Source organism: Homo sapiens, chromosome X (assembly GCF_000001405.40).
Source record: "Homo sapiens chromosome X, GRCh38.p14 Primary Assembly".
In the NCBI taxonomy this organism is placed as follows: domain Eukaryota; kingdom Metazoa; phylum Chordata; class Mammalia; order Primates; family Hominidae; genus Homo; species Homo sapiens.
This window is the reverse complement of record NC_000023.11, coordinates 119,610,270-119,633,548: the sequence shown is the minus strand read 5'-3', so window position 1 is coordinate 119,633,548 and position 23,279 is coordinate 119,610,270. Positions and strand designations below refer to the sequence as shown.

The 23,279-nt window shown below is 46.3% G+C and overlaps 1 protein-coding gene across 9 annotated transcripts in view; it reads left to right on the top strand.

Moving 5' to 3' along the window:
• Positions 1-17,825, top strand: part of SEPTIN6 (septin 6) — a 77,445-nt gene extending 59,620 nt beyond the window's left edge. Inside the window, exons 8-11 of one of the 9 annotated variants that reach the window (NM_145800.4) lie at positions 57-189; positions 4,041-4,231; positions 8,170-8,214; positions 16,807-17,825. In NM_145800.4, the coding sequence (NP_665799.1) occupies positions 57-189; positions 4,041-4,231; positions 8,170-8,173 (328 nt within the window). In that variant the 3' untranslated portion in view covers positions 8,174-8,214; positions 16,807-17,825. Of the gene's footprint in view, positions 1-56; positions 233-4,040; positions 4,232-8,152; positions 8,215-13,497; positions 16,605-16,806 lie in introns of those variants that run through there. The other 8 variants (XM_011531317.4, NM_145799.4, XM_011531318.4 and 5 more) reach the window with 8 other exon arrangements.

Genomic DNA, 23,279 nt, shown 5'->3' with positions numbered 1-23,279 from the left:
TTTATCAAATAGGAATCATTCCAAAGGAAGAAGAATTAACCTGACCATGTTCGCAGTTTACAGGAGACATATGAGGCCAAAAGGAACGAGTTCCTAGGGGAACTCCAGAAAAAAGAAGAGGAGATGAGACAGATGTTCGTCCAGCGAGTCAAAGAGAAAGAAGCGGAGCTCAAAGAGGCAGAGAAAGAGGTAAATGTGAGCCTGGTGATTATTAAAATGTCAAGAAACAACAGCTGCTGGTGAGACTGTGGAAAAATAGGAACGCTTTTACACTGTTGGTGTGAATGTAAATTACTTCAACCACTGTGGAAGACAGTGTGGTGATTCCTCAAAGACCTAGAATCAGAAATGCCATTCGACCCAGCAATCCTATAGATCACTTTATTATAAAGATACACACACACATATGTTCACTGCAACACTATTCACAATAGGAAAGACATAGAATCAACTCAAATGCCCATCAATGATAGATTGGATAAAGAAAATGTGGTACATATACACCATGGAATACTATGCAGCCATAAAAAGGAATCAGAGGATGTTCTTTAGAAGGACATGAGTGGAGCTGGGAGCCATTATCTTCAGCAAACTAACACAGGAACAGAAATCCAAACATTGGGCCGGACACTGTGGCTCACGCCTGTAATCCCAACACTTTGGGAGGCCGAGGTAGTTGGATCACCTGAAGTCAGGAGTTCGAGACCAGCCTGGCCAACATGGTGAAACCCTGTCTCTACTAAAAATACAACAATTAGTGGAGTGTGGTGGCACATGCCTATAGTCCCAGCTACTTGGGAGGCTGAGGCAGGAGAATCGCTTGAATCTGGGAAGTGGAGGTTACAGTGAGCTGAGATCATGCCACTGCACTCCAGCCTTGGTGACAGAGCAAGACTCCATCTCAAAAACAAAAAAAAAGAAAGGAAACACTTAATTACTTCACGATTCTCTTCCACATTTAACCTGTCACACTCTCAAGGGTTCTCACCAAAGCCCATGACAAGGGTATTGATTTTTTTTTTCAGTTTCACTTAAAAAAAAAAAATGTCTGTTGGCTGGGCGCGGTGGCTCACGCCTGTAATCCCAGCACTTTGAGAGGCCAAGGCGGGCGGATCACAAGGTCAAGAGTTCGAGACCATCCTGCCTAACACGGTGAAACCCCGTCTCTACTAAAAATACAAAAAAATTAGCCGGGCGTGGTGGCGGGCGCCTGTAGTCCCAGCTACTCGGGAGGCTGAGGCAGGAGAATGGCGTGAACCCGGAAGGCGGAGCTTGCAGTGAGCCGAGATCGCGCCACTGTACTCCAGCCTGGGCGACAGAGCGAGACTCTGCCTCAAAAAAAAAAAATGTCAGACAGGTGCCTTGGCTCAGGTCTGTAATCCCAGCACTTTGGGAGGCTTAAAGCGAGGGGATTGCTTGAGCCCAGGAGTTTAAGACCAGCCTGGGCAACATACTGAGACCCTGTTTCTATTAAAAATAGAAAAAATTGGCTGGGCGCAGTTGCTCACACCTGTAATCCCAGCACTTTGGGAGGTCGAGGTGGGTGGATCACGAGTTCAGGAGTTTGAGGCCAGCCTGGCTAATATGGTGAAACCCTGTCTCTGCTAAAAATACAAAAATTAGCCAGGTGTGGTGGTACGCACCTGTAGTCCCAGCTACTTGGGAGACTGAGGCAGAAGAATTGCTTGAACCCAGGAGGCGGAGGTTGCAGTGAGCCGAGATTGTCCCACTGGACTCCAGCCTGGGCAACAGAGCGAGACTCCATCTCAAAAAAAAAAAATAATTACAAATACAAAAAATTAGCCAGGCATGGTTGCACGTGCCTGTAGTCCCAGCTACCCAGGAGGCTGAGGTAGGAGGAATGCTTCAGCCGAGAGATCGAGGCCACTGCATTCCAGCCTGCGTGACAGAGTGAGACTCTGTCTCAATAAAAAAAACAAAAATGTCACCCAGCACTTTTAGGAGGAGAAGTGAGGGGATCTCAAAGACAAATGAATAAAAGTGCAACAAACAAAAACCAGGTTAAGGCAATTGATAGGCAGCCCTAGTGACTAGTAAGAGCTGCTTTAGGCCAGGCGTGGTGGCTCATGCCTGTAATCCCAACACTTTGGGAGGCCAAGGTGGGCGGATGACAAGGTCAGGAGATCGAGACCATCCTGGCTAACTCAGTGAAACCCCGTCTCTACTAAAAATACAAAAAATTAGCCAGGAGTGGTAGCACGTGCCTGTAGTCCCAGCTACTTGGGAGGCCGAGGCAGGAGAATCACTTGAACCTGGGAGGCGGAGGTTGCAGTGAGCCGAGATTGTGCCACTGCACTCCAGCTTGGGCGACAGAGCGAGACTCTGTCTCAAAAAAAAAAAAAAAAGAAAAGAAAAAAGAAAAGATCTGGTTTATACAGCAAGTCTGTCACTCACCCACCTAAGTGACAGTGCCAAATACCCCCAGGACCCGGAGAACTAACCTTCTTCATCGTATGCTGCAAGTGCTACAGAATCCTAAACTCTCTCCTGAATCCATGAAAGAAAGTGAAATTCGGCTTGCTCTGCTCTTACTATTCAGGGTAGTTTATTGCATTCTAGTTTGTGACTGTCTGTGCCTCTTGTTCTCTGATCCACTTACCACAATGGCATGCCAGAATATTCTTTTTTTTTTTTTCCGAGACAGAGTCTCACTCTTGCCCAGGCTGGAGTGCAGTGGTGCGATCTCGGCTCACTGAAAGCTCCGCCTCCCGGGTTCAAGTGATTCTCCTGTCTCAGCCTCCCAAGTAGCTGGGATTATAGGCAAGCGTCACCACGCCCAGCTCATTTTTGTATTTTTAGTAGAGACGAGGTTTCACCATGTTGGCCATGCTGGTCTAGAACTCCTGACCTTATGCCACCCACCTTGGCCTCCCAAAGTGCTGGGATTGAGCCGACTACTGGGATTACAGCACTCCCAAAGTGCTGGTATTACAGGCGTGAGCCACTGTGCCTGGCCCAGAATATTCTTCTTGTTCTTCTTTGGGTTTCTGGTTCTATTCAGGACTAATTAAGCCTCCCTTTAGTTAAGGCTGAGGTGTCTGTACTCATTCCATGTCATAAAGTCCTTTTTATTTCCTTCCATGTCCAAAGCCAAGTATTTCCTTGACTGGCTTTCCCATACTGAAGTTTTCTCTGAGATCCATGGTGATCCTTCCTGATTGCAGGGGTTAAGAAAAGACAGGGGTTCCTTACACATAAGAGGTCCCATTATATAATGTTCTAAATACTGGGTTGACCATAGTCAAATTCCTTACTTCTCAGACCTTCTGTTTCCTCATAAAATGGAGATAATAACGGAACCTACCTCATAGGAATGTGGTAACAATTAAATAAATTAATATACATAAAGGACTTATAAAAGTCAGTGCTTAGCCTGTAATTACTCGGTAATTTCTTTTTTTATTTTTTGAGACGGAGTCTTCCTCTGTTGCCCAGGCTGGAGTCCAGTGGCACAATCTTGGCTCACTGCAACCTCCGCCTCCTGGGTTCAGGTGATTCTTCTGCCTCAGCCTGCTGAGTAGCTGGGACTACAGGCACATGCCACAATGCCTGGCTAATTTTTGTATTTTTAGTAGAGACGGGGTTTCACCATGTTGGCCAGGCTGGTGTCGAACACCTGACCTCAAGTAATCTGCCCACCTTGGCCTCCCAGAGTGCTAGGATTACAGGCCTGAGCCCGGCCAGCACTCAGTAAATGTTATATTATTATAATTGATGTTATTATTGACCATGTGTGGTAACTATGGGGACTCTTTTTAACAAAATGTCTGACTAAACACAATGCAGTATTCCTTTACCATATTCAGGAGCAGAGACTTGGAGATAAAATGGCAGGAAGAGAGAACGATCCAGAGCATGGTGCCTTTGGTGCCATCATAGCAATCCCTGACAGAAATGCCCCCTGAGGTTCCAGGGTCCTGCAGGGTCACAGCCCTACTGGTCCCCACCCACCTGGGCTTGGCCAGGCTGGGGACTGCTCACAGGGGATTCTCTCCAATCTCCCTGTGCTTCCCTGCCAGCTGCACGAGAAGTTTGACCGTCTGAAGAAACTGCACCAGGACGAGAAGAAGAAACTGGAGGATAAGAAGAAATCCCTGGATGATGAAGTGAATGCTTTCAAGCAAAGAAAGACGGCGGCTGAGCTGCTCCAGTCCCAGGGCTCCCAGGCTGGAGGCTCACAGACTCTGAAGAGAGACAAAGAGAAGAAAAAGTAAGTAGCAGGCTGCTCTGGGGTGGTGCCTTCTCTTTCCTCCTGCTCATCCTCCCAGGGCAGGACGTGGCACCTGAAGGGGCTGAGGACTGGTGACCAGAGGTGAGCTGTGGGCTGTCAGACTGGTTGAGGTACCTATAACTGGTCCCAGCATCCCTGTGGCACCTTTGGATTCCCTGAGCTTGGGGAGTTGAGAGTAGCAGAGGGGTGTGGTCCCAGAGGCCCAGCCCATCTGTCCAGCTTGCTCAGGAAAGCCCTGCAAACTCAAGGTCCATAGGAAAGGAAGGGAAAAGAGGAAAAGCAAAGGAGAGTGAGAGAGCAGAAGGGAAGAAAAAAATTAGAGGTGCAGCAATATAAGAGAGGAACAAGGCCGGGCACGGTGGCTCACACCTATAATCCCAGCACTTTGGGAAGCCAAGGCAGGAGGAACACTTGAGGTCAGGAGTCCAAGACCAGCCTGGCCTATATGGCGAAACCCCGTCTCTGCTTAAAAAAAAAAGAAAAAAAAAATAGGCTGGGCACGGTGGCTCACACCTGTAATCCCAGCACTTTGGGAGGCCGAGGCAGGCAGATCACAAGGTCAGGAGATCGAGACCATCCTGGTTAACACAGTGAAACCCCATCTCTACTAAAAATACAAAAAAATTAGCTGGGTGTGGTGGTGGGTGCCTGTAGTCCCAGCTACTCGGGAGGCTGAGGCAGGAGAATGGGGTGAACCTGGGAGGCGGAGCTTGCAGTGAGCAGAGATCGTGCCACTGCACTCCAGCCTGGGCGACAGAGCGAGACTCCGTCTCAAAAAAAAAAAAAAAAAAAGAGTTCAAGACCAGCCTGAACAACATGGTGAAACCCTGTCTCTACTAAAAATACAAAAATTAGCCAGGCGCGGTGGCGCGCGCTTATAATCCCAGCTACTCAGGAGGCTGAGGCAGGAGAATTGCTTGAACCCAGGAGGCAGAGGTTGCAGTGAGTTGAGATCGCACCACTGCCCTCCAGCTTGGGCGACAGAGCGAGACTCCATCTAAAAAAAAAAAAAAAATACAGAAATTAGCTGCCTGTAGTCCCAACTACTCAGGAGGCTGAGGCAGGAGAATCACTTGAACCCGGGAGGTGTAGGTTACAGTAAGCTGAGATCACACCACTGCACTCCAGCCTGGGCAACGGAGTGAGACTCCATCTGAAAAAAAAAAAAATAGAAAAGAAAGAGAGGAACAAAAAGAACTGCAGCTACGGGCCGGGCGTGGTGTAATCCCAGCACTTTGGGAGGCCAAGGCGGGTGGATCACTTGAGTTCAGGAGTTCGAGACCAGCCTGGCCTACATGATGAAACCTTGTCTCCACTAACAATACAAAAAATTAGCCAGGCGTGGTGGCGTGCGCCTGTAATCCCAGCTACTTGGGAGGCTGAGCAGGAGAATTGCCTGAACTGAGGAGGCAGAGGTTGCAGTGAGCTAAGATAGCACCATTGCACTCCAGCCTGGGCGACAGATTGAGACTCTGTCTCAAAAAAAAAAAAAAAAAAAAAAAAAAGAAGTGCAGATACAGGATAGTGGAAGAAAGAGAGAGCCTTTAGCAGAAACTCGGTGCACCCTCTCCCCACCCTTGCCCTATATCTGAGGTTGCTCACCTCTCCATGGCCGTAGTCCCACCCTCACCCTGCCTCAGTTATTACTCTCTGCAGCCAACAGAATTTAACTGCTGCCAGTGAAGGCTGCAGCTCAGCCCTGATTTCCCACCCCTTTGTGATCCCTCCCTGCTGGCTTAGTTCTGCCTAGCCTGGGGTGCTGAGAACTTATGGGGGAGCCCTCAGATGCCAGTGTATGCTGCATGTGCCCCATCCTCAATCTGTGGAATGACTGTAAGACCTTCTGATCTCCCCTGGTATTAGAACAGTGGCTCCTGGATACCATGTGGGTCAATAATCCTCACCCAACCCCAGTCTCTGCTTGCTGAAGTTACCCATTCCTCATCCCAGAACTGGAGAAAAATATTTCAACGGGATCTAGAAAAACTCCTGTGGTGCCCTTGTGCCCTGCAGTTGTTTGTGCAGTGTGGCTTGAGGAGTTCCCAGGTGGACTGTTTAGCTGTGTCTTTACTGAAGGGTACTGAGGATCCAAAAGGTGTCCATGGTCATTGCCTTCTGTTTTCAGCCATTTGTTCCTGGACTTAACTATGGGATATTTTTGCCAGAAGGAAGAAACACCTTCCTTTCCTCTGGCTTATCACTTAGGAATAACATGGTAACTTTTGCATAACAGTAAAATATGTTATATTTGAAGGCATTCAGCTTTGCAATCCAATTACTCTTTATGCAAATGTGTAATTTAAACATCTTGGCCGGGTACGGTGGCTCACGCCTGTAATCCCAGCACTTTGGGAAACTGACGCAGGCAGATCACCTGAGGTCAGGAGTTTGAGACCAGCCTGGGCAACATGGCGAAACCCCGTCTCTACTAAAAATACAAAAATTAGCTGGGCATGGTGGCCCACACCTGTAGTCCCAGCTACTCAGGAGGCTAAGGCAGGAGAATCACTTGAGCCTGGGAGGTGGAGGTTGCAGAACCAAGATCATGCCACTGCACTTCAGCCTGGGTGACAGAGTGAGACTTTGTCTAAAAAAAAAAAAAGAACATCTTCACCAATTAGTCCAGAAATTTTTCTTACTGAATCTTAATACTATATGTCAAATTCACTGATGAATGAAATTTTTTGGTATTACCTGATGGATAAAGTTCAACTAGCCAGAAAAAAGTCTCTTTGGACACACCCTGTACTGTATTAACTTATCTGTCATGGTGTATTAGTTGCACCAGCAGGAATGAATTCCTATTTTTAAGATCAGAAAAATCTAAATTTGTCATCCAGCTGTAACCTGCTGCCTTCATAGTCCTGTGGTATTTGTTAACTCAGTACCTGGGGCAGTTTCATAGCCTGCTTGTGGGAGTTAGGAATTGGTTTGTTCAGGCTACAATGAAACTATAAATATTCCCTATTCAGATGTTCAGTAAAAGTTCTTCTTACATCAAGCTTTCCCCTTGTTGCCTCATACTGACTGACTTCTCCCACCCCAGGCAGGAGACCCCAACAGGGAGATACCCCTCTCTACTCTTCAGGAATATTTGGGGTTGGTGACAGTGCCCCTTTCCAATTCTGAAATGGGTGAAAACCCTGCTGGCATGTGGCACCTTATATTAGCAATAAGGGCCTAACAGAATGACCTGTCTTCTTCTGTACTTCCAGATGCAGAAGTGGCCCTGAATCTTGGCTTCTTATGTAATTTCATGAGCAATTTGTTAACTTCTGGAAGAGCCACCGTTAGACCTGTGCTACCCTCCTCCCATAGTCACGGTAGTGAGTTTTGAGGGCAGAAATGGTGGTAGTAGTATTTCTTCTTGAGAGATGGTGGTTGGATCTAAGAGTCACATATTCAGAATTTCCTTTAGCTGCCCCTAAAGAGATTAAGAAAGTACTGGCCAGCCGTGGTGGCTCATGCTTGTAATCCCAATACTTTGGGAGGCCAAGGCGAAGGATTGCTTGAGTCCAGGAGTTTGAGATCAGCCTGGGCAACATAGTGAGACCTTTGTCTCTACAAAAAAAATAAATAAATAAACATTAGCTGGGCCTGGTGGCACTTGCCTATAATCCCAGCTACTCAGGAGACTGAGGTGGGAGAACTGCTTGAACCCGGGAGGTTGAGGCTGCAGTGAGCCATGATTGCGCCACTGCACTCCAGTCTGGGCAACAGAGAGAGACCCTGACTCAAAAAAAAAAAAAAAAGAGTATCAGTGTTTCAGGGGTTCCTACCAGTCCACCCTTCCCACTTCCCCTTCCTGCTACTCCTAATCACCTTTGACCTCTAACCCTTCATTGTTTGTGTCAAGTCATAATATTTGATTTCCCCTCATGCTCACTCCATCTTCATCAGCTCTTACTGTTTTACAGTTAACTCTGCTGTTTGCTGCATGCTGCATGAGACCCAGGGTCCTGGTAAGCTTGATTAACTCTAAATAGAACTGGCAGTGGCTTCTAGAACATATCTCCCCCAATCCCGCACCCCCAACACAAGCATCTAATCGTAGAAGAAGCTGCTTCATTGGTCTAGCTGGTTTTCTCTCGTGACTTATAATATGCAGAAATAGTCTGGTGTGGTTTCAGGTGTACATGTGGAATGCCTGCCTGCCTGCCTGATTAAAGTGAGGGGTCGTTTTCAGACTTTTGCTGCTAGAACAGCTGGGTAACACAGGTGGATCCTGTGATCAGTATTTGAGGTTTCAGTGTGGGAAGTTTTTTTCTTAAAGAGCCATAATCGGGCCGGACGCAGTGGCTCACAGACCTGTAATCCCAGCACTTTGGTAGGCCGAGGAGGGCAGATCACCTGAGGTCAGAAGATTGAGACCATCCTGGCTAACACGGTGAAGCTCCATCTCTACTAAAAATACAAAAAATTAGCCGGACATGGTGGCACAGGCCTGTAATCCCAGCTACTCTGGAGGCTGACACAGGAGAATCGCTTGAACCTGGGAGGCGGAGGTTGCAGTGAGCCGAGATTGCACCATTGTACTCTAGCCTGGGCAACAAGAGCGAAACTCCATCTCAAAAACAAAAGGAGCTATAACCATTATTTTCAAAATTAATGAAACCGTGGTGATGAGAGAAACTGGGTTTCACAAGCTCCGTCCTGCAATGTCACAGTCAGCATCAACCCTCTCCCATCCCCCTGCATCAGGTTTGAGAATGTCCAGAGTCAATGGAAACTCACTTCTCTGTTTCCCGCTGGTGGCAGTTTCATATCTGAGGGGTTCAAGTCCTCAAATTTCCTTTGACTGTACCCCTCAAAACCATAATAAGGCTGAGAGCAGTGGCTCACGCCTGTAATCTTAGCACTTTGGGAGGCCGAGGCGGGCGGATCACCTGAGGTCGGGAGTTCGAGACCAGCCTGACCAACATGGAGAAATCCTGTCTCTACTAAAAATACAAAATTAGCCGGGCGTGGTGGTGCATGCCTGTAATCCCAGCTACTCGGGAGGCTGAGGCAGGAGAATTGCTTGAACCTGGGAGGCGGAGGTTGCAGTGAGCCGAGATCGCACCTTTGCACTCCAGCCTGGGCAATAAGAGCGAAACTCCGTCTCAAAAAAACAAACAAACAAACAAACAAAAAAAAAAACAAAAAAAAAAAACCCATAATAAAAGCGGAGGAAAATGAAGAGATCTTAGAAATTATAGAGAATTCCTTACATTTAATCCTACAAGTACTGGCTTCATGAAAACCTCTTATAAGGAGATCAGCAGGTAAGGATTCCTGAGTGCTAGATGTTGTGTTAATAGAAGTTTATAAAGTTTCACATAGTTTATAGGGAGACTGAAAGCAGGGATTAAGGACCTTCTATCTCCTCTACTAGACTCAGGTAGTGGATGGAAAGGAAATACAAACATTTTTAATTTAACATAATTAGGGTTTTTTTTGTTTGTTTGTTTCTTTTTTTGAGACGGAGTCTCACTCTGTCACCGAGGCTGGAGTGCAGTGGCACAACCTCAGCTCCCTGCAACCTCCGCCTCCTGGGTTCAAGCAATTCTCATGCCTCAGCCTCCCAAGTAGCTGGGATTATAGGCATGTGCCACCATTCCTGGCTAATTTTTGTATTTTTAGCAGAGACCGGGTTTCACCACGTTGGCCCAGGCTGGTCTCAAACTCCTGACCTCAGGTGATCTGCCTACCTTGGCCTCCCAAAGTGCTGAGATTACAGGCGTGAGCCACCGCGCCCGATGAAGGGTTATTATTATTTTTTTTAAACTTTACCGTGGAAACTTTCAAACATGAGCAAAATAAGAGGATAATACAGTTCAGCCCCCAGGCAACCATAAACATATGCCTAATCTTGTTTCATCAATTACTACAGACCTGCTGAATTATTATAAAGCAAAACTATATCATTTTATCTGTAAATACTTTAGTATATATTTCCAAGAGATAATGATTCTTTAAAAAAACATAACCACAACCCCACCATTATCACACCTACAAAATGAACAATAATTCATTAACATGAAATGTCTAGTCAGTGTTTGAAACATCCCGGTTGTCTCATAAATGCCCTTTTACATTTGGTTTGTTTGGATCAGGGAATATAAAATATAGAGAAGACTTTTCCCCACTCACCCATGTAGTTTATGATTTAAATGGAGAGCCTGCTGTTAGTCACCAAACTGATTGCCGCAGCTATTGCACTGGGGACTCGGGGCAGCTGGCAAAACATCCTGCTTGGAAGCAAATCCTGAAGAGGAAGTCCATAGAGGTTTCTGCAACATAAGGCCCATGAAACCGGGCCAAAGGAAACAATCTTAAAAGAACAGTGACTTGATTTACTGTCTGGCTTAACAGCAAGTCTTGGAGCCCCTGCTAGTTGACTGGAATTAAACAGCAGATTTCCATTTAGGAAGACAGTCAGTTCCTAGAATGCCTGTCCATTCTTTGCACTGTATGTAGTTCCAGTGCGTAGTGAAGTGTCTGACATGTAATAGGAACTCAGTTCATGTGTTATGTTCTTTGTTCTCCCATTTTTAATGAGGTGAGCAGGAAATATGTATTCTAGTTAATGAGATTTCAGTTAATTCAGGTTTCACTGCACGTGGCTTGACACAGTTGCTTACAGGTTTCCCCAAGTAAATCATTGTTAGTGGCCATTCCTAAAATGAATTCTGGCAAAACTATAATTAAAGCTACACTTTACAAGTGAGAGGCAATTGGTAAACAGCTGGAACAGCCAACCCCAACCCCAAGTAGGTTGGCTCTTCCTGGCAGGATTCTCCCTGGCAGACCACGAAAGCAATTTCAGACCAACGAGTCAGGGGAGGCTTTGGCTCCCCAGGATCTGAAAGCAGCAAAGGCAACCCGCCCCCTCCTCAAAGCCCTCATTCAAGGGGTGGATCACGAAGGCCACCTAGAATGCAGGCAGAGTGAGGCTTACTGTGCCTCCACATTTTGAAATTGCTTGAGGCACTACTTATAGCTCTCTGCATTTGTAAAAGCGATTCCTTTGTGACCCCCTACATCGTTGCAGATACTCTACCTCAATCATTATTGGTCCTTAGGAGTGCACAGTATATGGATAGTATACACACATCAAAATACGTCAGCCTTCCCATGAAACCTAGAACATAGGCCATTGCAGTGTTTTTTAGATTACTCTTCCCCTAGGAAGTAGACAAAGAATAAAAATAAGATATGAGCATTTGTATAGCTTTTATTACTTTCCAAAGTGTTTTTTTTTGTTGTTGTTGTTTTGTTTTTGTTTTTGTCTTTTGTATAGTATCTCATTTTATACTTACAACAGGTCTGTGAGGTAGAGAAGGAATAATCCCCAGTTTGCAAGATGAGTAAATGGAAGCTGGGCGAGGTGGCTCACTTATGTAATCCTAGCACTTTGGGAGGCTGAGGTGGGAGGATCACTTGAGCCCAGGAGTTGGAGACCAGCCTGGGCAGCATGGTGAAACCCTATCTCTCTATTTTTTTTTTTTTTTTTTAAGAGAGTTGGCTGGGCATGATGGCTCACGCCTGTAATCCCAGCACTTTGGAAGGCCGAGGCAGGAGGATCACCCGAGGTCAGGAGTTCAATACCAGCCTGGCCAACATGGTGAAACCCTGTCTCTACTAAAAATACAAAAATTAGCTGGGCATGGTGGCGGGTGCCTATAATCCCAGCTACTTGGGAGGCTGAGGCAGGAGAATTGCTTGAACCCCAGAGGCGGCGGTTGCAGTGAGCCAAGATCGCACCATTGCACTCCAGCCTGGGTGACAGAGCAAGACTCCATCTCAAAAGAAATAAAAATACACACACACACACACACACACACACACACACACACACACACACACACCAGCTCTGGGCCCAGCTGTGACTCTTTGCAGCCACAGGCAAGTCTGTTGACTTCTCTGTGTTTCTTGGTCTACTCATATGAAATGGGGATCAGTTCTACTTGCTGTATTTATGTCACAGGAATGAAATTTACATGGAAGAGAGGTCAAAGTATTATTTAAGCACAAACCAATGATGGGTTTCCATAGTTCACATTTTCAGGTAACTGTGGTCTGGACCCTAGAACAGAGTTCTGCAATCATCCCCATATGCTCTGCAAACAGGTCTTGCCCCAGAGTACCAGTTAGCTGACTAGGACAGCTCTAAGGATCTCCTGGGGTGAAACCTCAGCCTCCTCTACTTTCCCAATGGGACAGGAAATGCAGTGGCTAGAGCCTGGGGCTCTATCCAGTGGCCTGAGGCCACTTAGAGATTTGTGGAAGGTATTCCTGTACAAGGTATTGGGTGGTGGTGCTGGGGGTGGGTGGTGGTGCTGGGGGTGGGTGGTGGGGGACACTAGTCAGGACCTAGTCATTAAGAAGAGATAGGCCGGGCTCAGTGCCTCACGCCAGTAATCCCAGCACTTTGGGAGGCTGAGGCGGGTGGATCACTTGAGGTCAGGAGTTCGAGACCAGCCTGGCCAACATGATGAAACCCCCGTCGCTACTAAAAATACAAAAATTAGCCGAGCGTGGTGGCAGGCGCCTGTAATCCCAGATACTCAGGAGGCTGAGGCAGGAGAATCGCTTGAAATTGGAAGATGGAGGTTGCAGTGAGCCAAGATCACGGCCACTGCACTCCAGCCTGGGCAAAAGACCAAAACTCCATCTCAACAACAACAACAAAAAAGAGCCGGGTGCAGTGGCTCACGCCTGTAATCCCAGCACTTTGGGAGGCCAAGGCGGGCAGATCATGAGGTCAGGAGATCGAGACCATCCTGGCTAACACGGTGAAACCCCGTCTCTACTAAAAATACAAAAAAATTAGCCGGGTGTGGCGGCGGGCTCCTGTAGTCCCAGCTGCTGGGGAGGCTGAGGCAGGAGAATGGCGTGAACCCGGGAGGCAGAGCTTGCAGCGAGCCGAGATCGCACCACTGCACTCCAGCCTGGGTGACAGAGCAAGACTCTGTCTCAAAAAAAAAAAAAAAAAGAAAGAAAGATAAAATGTATTTTTGTGGTTGTTGATCATTATTTTGCTGGCTAATGCCACTGCTGCCATCATGTGGGAGTGTGTGTGGAGTGTATGAGAGAGAAAGCATGTTCCCCGGAGCCAATGCAATAAGACCTTAAGACCATCTAACATAGCTATATTCTAATTTAGCCATTAGTCCTCATTACTTAATTTTCTTCTGACTTTTTTTTTTTTTTGGTACATTAATCTATCCATTCATTAACTCAGCTTCTCTTTTCATTTTCAGTTTGGGCTTCCTGTAGACACCCTTTTCCTGCGCAACAGAGCTGGGCCTCCCTTTCTCTAATTTCCCCCTTAACATGCCTGGGGGGCATACAATCCAACCCGCGCCCTCTCCTCTCTTCCTGCCAAGGTTTATAGAAACCTGAGAATCTGAGGGTGATGTCTGGCCGCTGGTCAAGAAGCCAACAGTCATGTGGCTCGCAGATGCATCCTGCATCCCAGTCCCCCTCCCAGCACCCCCAGCCATCCCCCCTGTCTTCCCCCACATCTTTGCCAGAGGTGTGACATGGTCAGGGGGCCCATCTGCTACTCTTTCCCACCAGCTCCCCTGTTCCAGTTCTGGTTGCTGTTAGTTTCCCTGAGGTATTTGCAACCACCATGGCTGGGTAACCACCGATCAGCACAGCTGTCCCCTTGGTCTCCTGTATCCCAGTCACTAGTCCTCCCTGGTCCACCCCACCCTCATCCTCAGGAGCCACAGCCATTTCTTAGAGGGTTTCAAAAGGACAGCCTTTGGCGCCTTTTCCTTCTAACCTTTGAGTCCAGCCCTTTCCAGTTTTCATTCACTCGAAGTAACTGCACTCAAGCTGTGCTCAAAATCGGCAACGCATTTATTTACACCAAGCCCTTCCCATAAAACACAACTGCTGAAGAAAATAGCAGACGTTTCCCCTCTCTCTAACTCTGGGTATCCCACAGATGCAAAAGGGAGAATAAACCTGAATATTATTACCAGCCTAGAGTCTTGAATGATAGCCTTACCGAATTCTTCTTGTGAGGTATTTCAGCATCTCGGGGGGTAATTTCCGGAAGGGCTCCATACTGTCCCAATAAGGTGAGGCCAGTAGCAGGAATAATAAATCCCACTTTGTAGGCTGGAAAACTGAGCTGTCAAAAGAATCAAGTGTTTGGGGGTTTGCTCTGATGAGTCTTCTAGTTCATTTGGTGAATGTCATGATGATTTTTAACATGCATTTTGCATGCATCCCCCAATAAGAAGAGATGAGACTCGGCCGGAGAGAAGAAAAGGCCCTTAACTTTCTTTCCAATTTAAGGAGTTGAGAGTTTAAAAATATTCCAGCCCTAAGTTTTTATCATGGGTCCCATCTGATAGTGGCTTTGGGAACCTCTGTGAAGTAGAGAGCCCTCCCTTGTCAGGGTTATGAGGCACAGTGGCCTTTGGTGTTTGGCCAGTGACAGTGTGAGAGATGGAGTTGACCTGGCAATGATCTGTGGCTAACATGCCGTCTCTCTGCCCTTCCTTTGCAGTAATCCATGGCTGTGTACTGAATAGTATTCCCCGCTACAGCTGGACTGGACTCCATTTAGCCTTTTAAGCCGAGGTTCCTATTTTAACTGACAGCTTTCCTTTGGGGTGCCAGGCAGCGAGGCCCCCCACCCCTATCCTGCCATGTACTTCAAGCTCACTTCTTCTTTTTGAGTTCCGCAACTTGCTCCTGCCTCCCAGCCCCACTGGCACTGACCATGACCACCTACTTCTATTTTTTTTTTAGAGTTTCTTTTTTTGATCACTTACTTTCAAAGCACACAGTCAAACAAGGTTATGCCAAATTTCCAGGCCTTTTTGAAGTATTGAGAAGGGGAAGGGGATTTCTCACTTCAATTATAGATCATAATAGGAAGCAAAAAGAAAAAAATGAAAAGCAAACATATGCACGCACTTTTCTTGTTGACAAAGCAAGAATATAGGTTTGCTGTGTAGGTTTGGTGCTCTATTGATTGGTGAGTGACCAGAGCAAGTATGAAGGTGATGCTGCCAAAGCACAAGCCAGTTTCTTGGGAAAATTCAAGTTACAGTGGAGTATTTTTTTGAAGACCATATGCTTGGAGGTAGAAACAAACCAACGACCAAAAAAAAAAAAAAAAAAATCTGCTCAGATACTCAGCCAGTAGCTCAGAGAGATGCTGAGTTAGGCCTGTCAGGTCTCCTTGGGAAAGGCTTCATATTTGCAACTTTGATGATTCTATGTCCAGCTTCAGAGCTGCTTTCCCAGAAATTCACGCTTAAACAACCAACCGGTAACCACCACTTCCCCACACCGCCGCCCGGTAATTATTTGCATTACAAACCGGAGGCGCCCTCATTTGCATTTGTGTACAGATTAACTAGTTAAGGCTTGAGAAGCTCTGAATAATTCAAAAGTATTAGACCCACACAGCCTTGGAGAGACCTTCAGAAACTAAGGAGGAGTTTTATATTAAGGGAGACATTTTAGTCAGTAAGACGATATAACCTACTTACTCCGTAAGGGGAAATGAAGGCCCAGAGAAGGGAAGGGACTTGACCGAGGTCCCACTTCTGTTTCGAGGCAGAAGCCAGACTAATTTTCATGCCTCCTGACTCCCAATCAGTTTCACAAAGGGATTCAATCTGTTTATATACGTTACATTCCTGGATACGAGGTCTTTTGATGTTCAGAGTAACTGACTAGTTAGTATTAGAAGACCCTCGAGGTTTTTTTCCACAGAAAAACATCTGAAGATGGATTGGGTGAGGGCTGGCAAAACGAAGGCATGCCGGGCCAGCTCCTTAACCCAATGACCCAGTGATGCTGCAAGGCTGGAACGGGGTCCAGGAGACTGTGTGTAACAGGTGCCCTAGGTGACCCTTATAATCAGGGAAGTTTGGTGAACAAAAATCGAACCCATGAGTGAACATAAATTAAAAAGTTGATCAACCTATTAAAATGTGTATTTCATTGGGTAGCTTTTCTCACTGTAGACAGATTTTTTCCTTCTTCAATGAAAAGGCTTTTAAATTAGTACAACTGTTACTATTTAAAAAAAAAATACCCTAAGTACTCTGTTTACTTCTGGTGAAACAAAACCAGTCATTAGAAATGGTCTGTGCTTTTATTTTCCCAGACTGGAGTGGCTTTTCTGAAACACACACACACACACACACACACACACACACACACACACACACACACACGTACACACATCCCTCACTTCTCTTAAGCCAAGAAGTTTGCTTTCCCTAGCTGCAGTGTAGATGGCTCTTGTTTTTGTTTTTTTGTTTTAATCATTTGGCATTCACATGTGGCTGTTAATATGTGCTTGTTTTTAATTAAAACAAGAAGCTTTAAACTGGTGTGTGGTGTTCTTAAAACCTTCTCAGCAGATTTCCCCGTGGTGATGGCCCAGCAATGACCCCCATTTCTAACCTGTCTTCTCACACTACAATCTGTGCTACCTCAATATTGCCCATTCCCCTCCCCCTGTCTTACTTTGAATGTCCTCTTTCTTTGGCTAATTTCATGTTTTCTTTCTCTTTCTCTCTCCTTTCCAGCTTTTTTTAATCTTGTCTTCAGCAGCTGCACTAAGTCTAAAGGAGAAGACTGCCATTATAGAAGAGTTAGGGTTCCATATTGTCTCAAATCAGAAATCAACCAATTTCCTCTCCCCTCAAACTGCAAGCACACACACATACACCACACCACTCAACAAGTGTTCATGTGTCCCTGTGTCCAGGCAAGAAGCTCTCTTCCTGACTCACATGGTATTTTAAATGGAAGTGTCTTGTCCTAACTAACAAGGCAGGAAAAGAACCATCAGAGCTGGAAAATGGACGAAATGTAACCTCAGAGAAACAACTACAGGACCACTCACCCAAGTGTAAGTGACTGGGGCAGGACACCTCAGCTGTGGGTATGAAAGTACTGTTCTGTTCACAAGGTTTTGTTTGAGTTTTATGTTTTTCTTTTAAACATTTCTCTGGTTCGATGGGTTGACTGTCTACAGCCACTGTTAAACATTTCTGAATATGCAAGAGAAAGTCAAGTGACATTTGTATCTTCTTCAGCATTCGCAGACCTTCTATAGATTCCAGCAAAGGGGGAAAATGTATCCACTATCTAACACTTAGGTAGAGAAGGGAGGGGGTTTAAGCTTAGTGAGGGCAAAATTACTCCATTCCACCTTCCGAGACCAGTTAGGGTTTTGAGAGAGGTTTCTGCTCAACCTGGGATCTGGAGGGAGAGCTTTGATGTTGGTAAATCTGCCTTGAATTCATTGGTTTAACTTGCATCAAAATACCATGTGAGTGTGCTCATTCTCATATATCCCCTACCACCATCACCACCATTCTGCTGTTCAGTGTCTCTTGAGAGAGCCTCTTTGCATGTTTTCCAGAATCTGTGTGTGTTTTTCCTTTCTTCTCCTTTGTTCTTTTTGCTCAAAGGTGTGACCAGTCATTGCCCCTCTGGGGCTTTCATTCTCCAGGAGAAACATCCCAGAACCAGCACTGTTTAGCCTGATACCTTTCTAATGTCCATGTCAATTTTCAATAAAATTCAAAGAAATGCTAAATGGCTGTGTGATCTGATCTTAAGTCACTGGGTGATGCGGCCCACCACGGTTTGCCTGAGGAGTGGGTGGCTGCCTTCTGAGTGGGTGATTTGAAGGGCTCAGGGAGGCACCACCAGCCTATGAAATCTTCCTAGATGGGTTGCCATCCCCCGTGCCCGCCCCCTCCAACTTTATTCCAGCTGGGCCTGAAATTCCCAACACCTGGGGTGGAGGTGGGCAGGAAGTCCTCCACTTTTTCTTTATTAGCATGGATTCAACTAAGTTGAGCTGATTATCATTTAGTATATTAGATGGAGAATGTGGAGCGCCAGAGCCTACGGAACAAGATTCAGGTGAGTTTTAATTCTGGCAGGAAAAGAACTCTATGCCACGTGTCTTCTCTCATTTAATCCTGTGATGTGAGCATCCCCCAAAATTCATGGATATGACTATTCTTTATGACTCAAAAAGCATTCTATAGATACTAAGGAGTATTTTGTGTCCTGGGTCTACTAGAGAGCGGAGCCTCCCATCCTCCTAAGCATTAAAGTAGGCAAGAGAGAGAGTCATCACTTTAAAGAACTCTGGTGGCCCTTAGGAAAACGAATTTTCTTCAACTTTGTTTTCCTAAGGGCCAGGGTGCAGACATCAGGGCATGCATCCTTTCCTTACAGAGGCCTGGAGGCTTCAGAAAATATCCATGTATATAGGCCTGGCTCTGCGCAGCTCACACACTAGGAGACAGCCGAGTGAGACAATACGTCTGTGACGTTTGTGACGTCACCGAGCAGAGGCAGGCACTGAGGTGTTATGGAAAATTACAAGCCCTGGAGCCCTACAGACTTGTGAGCTGTAAGCAAGGTGGGCAGATCACCTGGGGTCGGGAGTTTGAGACCAGCCTGACCAACATGGAGAAACCCCGTCTCCACTAAAAATACAAAATTAGCCGGGCGTGGTGGCACGCGCTTGTAATCTCAGCTACTTGGGAGGCTGAGGCAGGACAATCGCTTGAACCTGGGAGGCGGAGGTTGCCATGAGCCGAGATCGCGCCATCGCACTCCAGCCTGGGCGACAGAGTGAGACTCCATCTCAAAAATAAATAAGTAAAATAAAAATTTAATAAAACGTCTCCAGAAAAGGAGGACATCAGTGATTGCCTTGCCATGGTCATTGTGAAGGCTACCTGAGCTAAAAGTTAAAGACCTGGGCGTTCAGTCAGTGGGCTCCCTTGTTAAGGACTGAGTTTTCCCTGTACTAGAAAGTACTCACCTGGCCAGGTGCAATGGCTCACGCCTGTAATCCCAGCACTTTGGAAGGCCGAGGTGGATGGATCACTTGAGGCCAGGAGTTCAAGACCAGCCTGGCCAACATGGTGGAACCCCGTCTCTACTAAAAATACAAAAATTAGCCAGGCATGGTGGCACGTACCTGTAATCCCAGCTACTGGGGAAGCTGAGGCAGGAGAATTGCTTGAACCTGGAAGGCAGAGCTTGCGGTGAGCCGAGATCGCGCCATTGCACTCCAACCTGGGCGACAGAGCAAAACTCTGTCTCAGAAAGAAAAAAAAAGAAAGTACTCACCTTAGAGTCCTATAATCCAGAGTTTCTCAACCACAGTACTATGGACATTTGGGACCAGACATCTGGAGGGCTGTCATGTGCGTTAAAGAATATTTAGCACTATCCCTGGCCTCTACTAACTAGATATCAGTAGGATGCCCTCCCTACCCTCCACAGTTGTGACCACCAGAAATGTTTCCAGGCATTGCCAAAATGTTCCCTGTGCACAATCGCCCCATGTGGACAACCATTGCTTTAGGTCAGGAGTGAGCAAACTTTTTTTTTTTTTTCTTGAGACTGGATCTCACTGTGTTGCTCAGGCTGGAGTGCAGTGGTGCGATCACAGCTCACTGCAGCCTCAAAATCCTGGGCTCAGGTGATCCTCCCACCTCAGCCTCCTGAGTATCTGGGACTATAGGCTCGTGCCACCATGCCCAGATTGTTTTTAATTTTTTTTGGAGGAGGGTAGAGACTGGGGTCTGGCTGTTGCTCAGTGTGGTCTTAAACTCCTGGGCTCAAGCGATCCTTCCACTTCGGCCTCCCAAAGAGCTGGGATTATAGGCGTGAGCCACCGCACCCAGCTGCAAACTTTTTCTGTAAAGCGCCAGCTGATAAATATTTTAGGCTTTGCAGGCCATGTGATCTCTGCAACTATTCAACTGTTACTACAGCACAAAAGCAGCCGTAGATAATATGTAAGAGGTTGAGCATGGCTGTGCTCAATAAAACTTCACTTATGGACATATGATTTGAATTTCACATATCCTGAATTATTCTTTTGATTTTTTTTTTTTTTTTGAGACAGGGTCTCACTCTTCGTCCAGGCTGGAGTGCAGTGGCATAGTCATAGCTCACTGCAGCCTCGAGCTCCTGGGCCCAAGCAATTCTCTTGCCTCAGCCTCCCAAGTAGCTGGGACTACAGGAGAGCGCCCCGACGCCCCGCTAATTCTTGTATCTTTTGTAGACACAGGTTTCCTCATGTTGCCCAGGCTGGTCTTGAACTTTTGAGCTCGAGCGATCCACCCACCTTGGCCTCCCAAAGTGCTGGGATTACAGTCGTGAGCCACTGTGCCCAGCAATTTTTTCCCAGCCATTAAGAAACGTAACCAAAACTAGCCTGGTGTCGTGGGCCTGTAGTCCCTGGCCCGCCACCACGCCTGGCTAATTTTTGTATTATTAGTAGAGACGGATTTTGCCATCTTGGCCAGGCTAGTCTCTAACCCCTGACCTCAAGTGATCCTCCCGCCTCGGCCTCCCAAAGTGCTGGGATTACAGGGGTGAGCCACTGCTCCCGGGCTTAATTAAATCCTTTGCATGAGATCTAGTTAGATGCTGCCCTTGGGGAACTTGCAGACTGGCCCCTTGTATCTACTCAACCACGTTTTTCAACACTTCCCAATATTTGTTCTCTGTCCAGTCTATTCTGTCTCTGCACAAACCTCTCCCTGAGTTACACAAACTGTTCGTTGACTCTGTCTGAAATATCATCTACTGATTTAAATCCTACCTTCAAGGCTCAGGTCCTACTTTAAAGACTTTCTTGATCTCATCCACCTATCCTGATTCCTGATCTCTTCTCCATTTTCAAACTCCCTAGTTGAACTTTTTTTTTTTTTTAACACTGTCTGACTCCATCGCCCAGGCTGGAATGCAGTGGCATGATCACGGCTCACTGCAACTGCTACCTCCTGGGCTCAAGCGATCCTCCCACCTCAGCCTCCCGAGTAGCTGAGACTACAGGCACGCACCACCACACTCAGCTACATTTTGTATTTTTTTGTAGAGACGAGACTTCACCATATTGCCAGGCTGGTCTCCAACTCCTGAGCTCAAGAGATCCGCCCACCTCGGCCTCCCAAAGTGCTGAGATTATAGGTGTGAGCCACTGAGTCCGGCCCCTACTTGAACTTATATAATCTTCTCTGCTTCTTATTTGGGGGACTTCCCTCCTCAAGAGATGTTAAGCTTCATAAGAGTAGGGGCATCATTTATAAGCTCTCCAGAGGTCCCAGTAAAGTGCAACCTCAAGATAAGTGATTAAGAGGTAGCTAGAGGCTGGGCGTGGTGGCTCACACCTGTAATCCCAGCACTTTGGGAGGCTGAGGCGGGCGGATCACTTGAGGTCACAAGTTCAAGACCAGCCTGGCCAACACGGTGAAAACCTGTCTCTACTAAAAACACAAAAAATCAGCCAGGTGTGGTGGCATATGCCTGTAGTCCTGGCTACTTGGGAGGCTGAGGTAGGAGAATTGCTTGAACCCGGGAGGCGGAGGCTGCAAGTGAGTAGAGATTGTGCCACTGCACTAGATTTATATTCTTCACCAATGTCAGGAGCTATTGCACTTTTTTTTTTTTTGAGATGGAGTCACGGTGTGTCGCCCAGGATGGAGTGCAGTGGCACGATCTCTCACTGCAGCCTCCGCCTCTCAGGTTCAAGTGATTCTTCTGTCTCAGCCTCCCAAGTAGCCGGGACTACAGGCAAGCGCCAACACGCCCGGCTAATTTTTGTATTTTTAGTAGAGACGGGTTTCACCTTGTTGGCCAGGATGGTCTTGGTCTCTTGACCTCGTGATCTGCCCACCTTGGCCTCTCAAAATGCTGGGATTACAAGCGTGAACCACTGCGCCTGGCCCACTATTGCACTTTTCAAACTACATTTTGAAATTAAGTTACAAGAATAGTATAATGCGGCTGGGCGCGGTGGCTCATGCCTGTAATCCCAGCACTTTGGGAGGCTGAGGCAGGCAGATCACCTGAGGTCAGGAGTTCGAGATCAGCCTGACCAACATGGAGAAACCCTGTCTCTACTGAAAATACAAAATTAGCCAGGCACATGCCTATAATCTCAGCTACTCAGGAGGCTGAGGCAGAAGAATCGCTTGAACCCAGGAGGCAGAGGTTGCAGTGAGCTGAGATCACGCCATTGCACTCTAGCCTGGACACCAAGAGTGAAACTCCGTCTCAAAAAAAAAAAAAAAAAGAATAGTACAACGTATACTCACATACTCTTGACCCAAATTCACCAGTTGATAACATTTTGCCCTATTGCTTTATCATTTTTGTGCCCCATATATATGTATGTGCCCCATATATACAGATAATATTTTCTTACATAACTGCAGACAGTTATCAACTTGGGTAAATTTCACATTCTAACACTAATCTATCAAATAATATCCTTTATAGCATTTTTTTTCTCGCAGTACAGGATCTAGTCTACGTTTATGCATTGTGCCCTGTCTTTTTACTCTCCTTTCGTTTGGAATAGCCCTTCTTTGTCTTTCATGACATTGATATTTTTGAAGTCCTATTTTAAAAATAGGATGTTCTCATTTTGGGTCAAGGTGTTGCCCAATTTCTCCAGGATATAATTACTGTTTTTTTTTTATTGCTACTAATAAACAATCTGTGGAGAGAAACTGTTAAGTTCCTGGAAATATCTTACTCATCAAAAATTTCTCCTTGGATTGAGCATCTGTTGATAATGTTTGCCTGGACCGATCTATATAAAATGATGATTTTCCAACTCCAGCACTCCCTCCATATTTACCAGTCAGCACATGGTATTCGACTGAAAGCAAAGCCCCTCCCTGCAAAGGCCCTCCCTTCTCTCTCATTTATTTATCTATTTGGTATCACTGTGGACTTATGGCTCCCAAGTTTTCAGTGGTTTATAATTCATTACTGTCTTTAATAATATTGGTGCTCACATTACTCAGAATTGGCCAGTGAGAACTCCTAGTTATGCTTTCAATCCGTTACTAAACATTCCTCAAGAGCACATGGTGGTGCAGAATTTTCGGGTCAAGAACTTTTAGTGATCTGATTTTTGGGATAGTTTATGGGATAGTTAAAAGACAGGTTCCAAGTTTCTGTCTTTTCATTACGTACTGACTCCCCCTATAGGCAAAAGCAG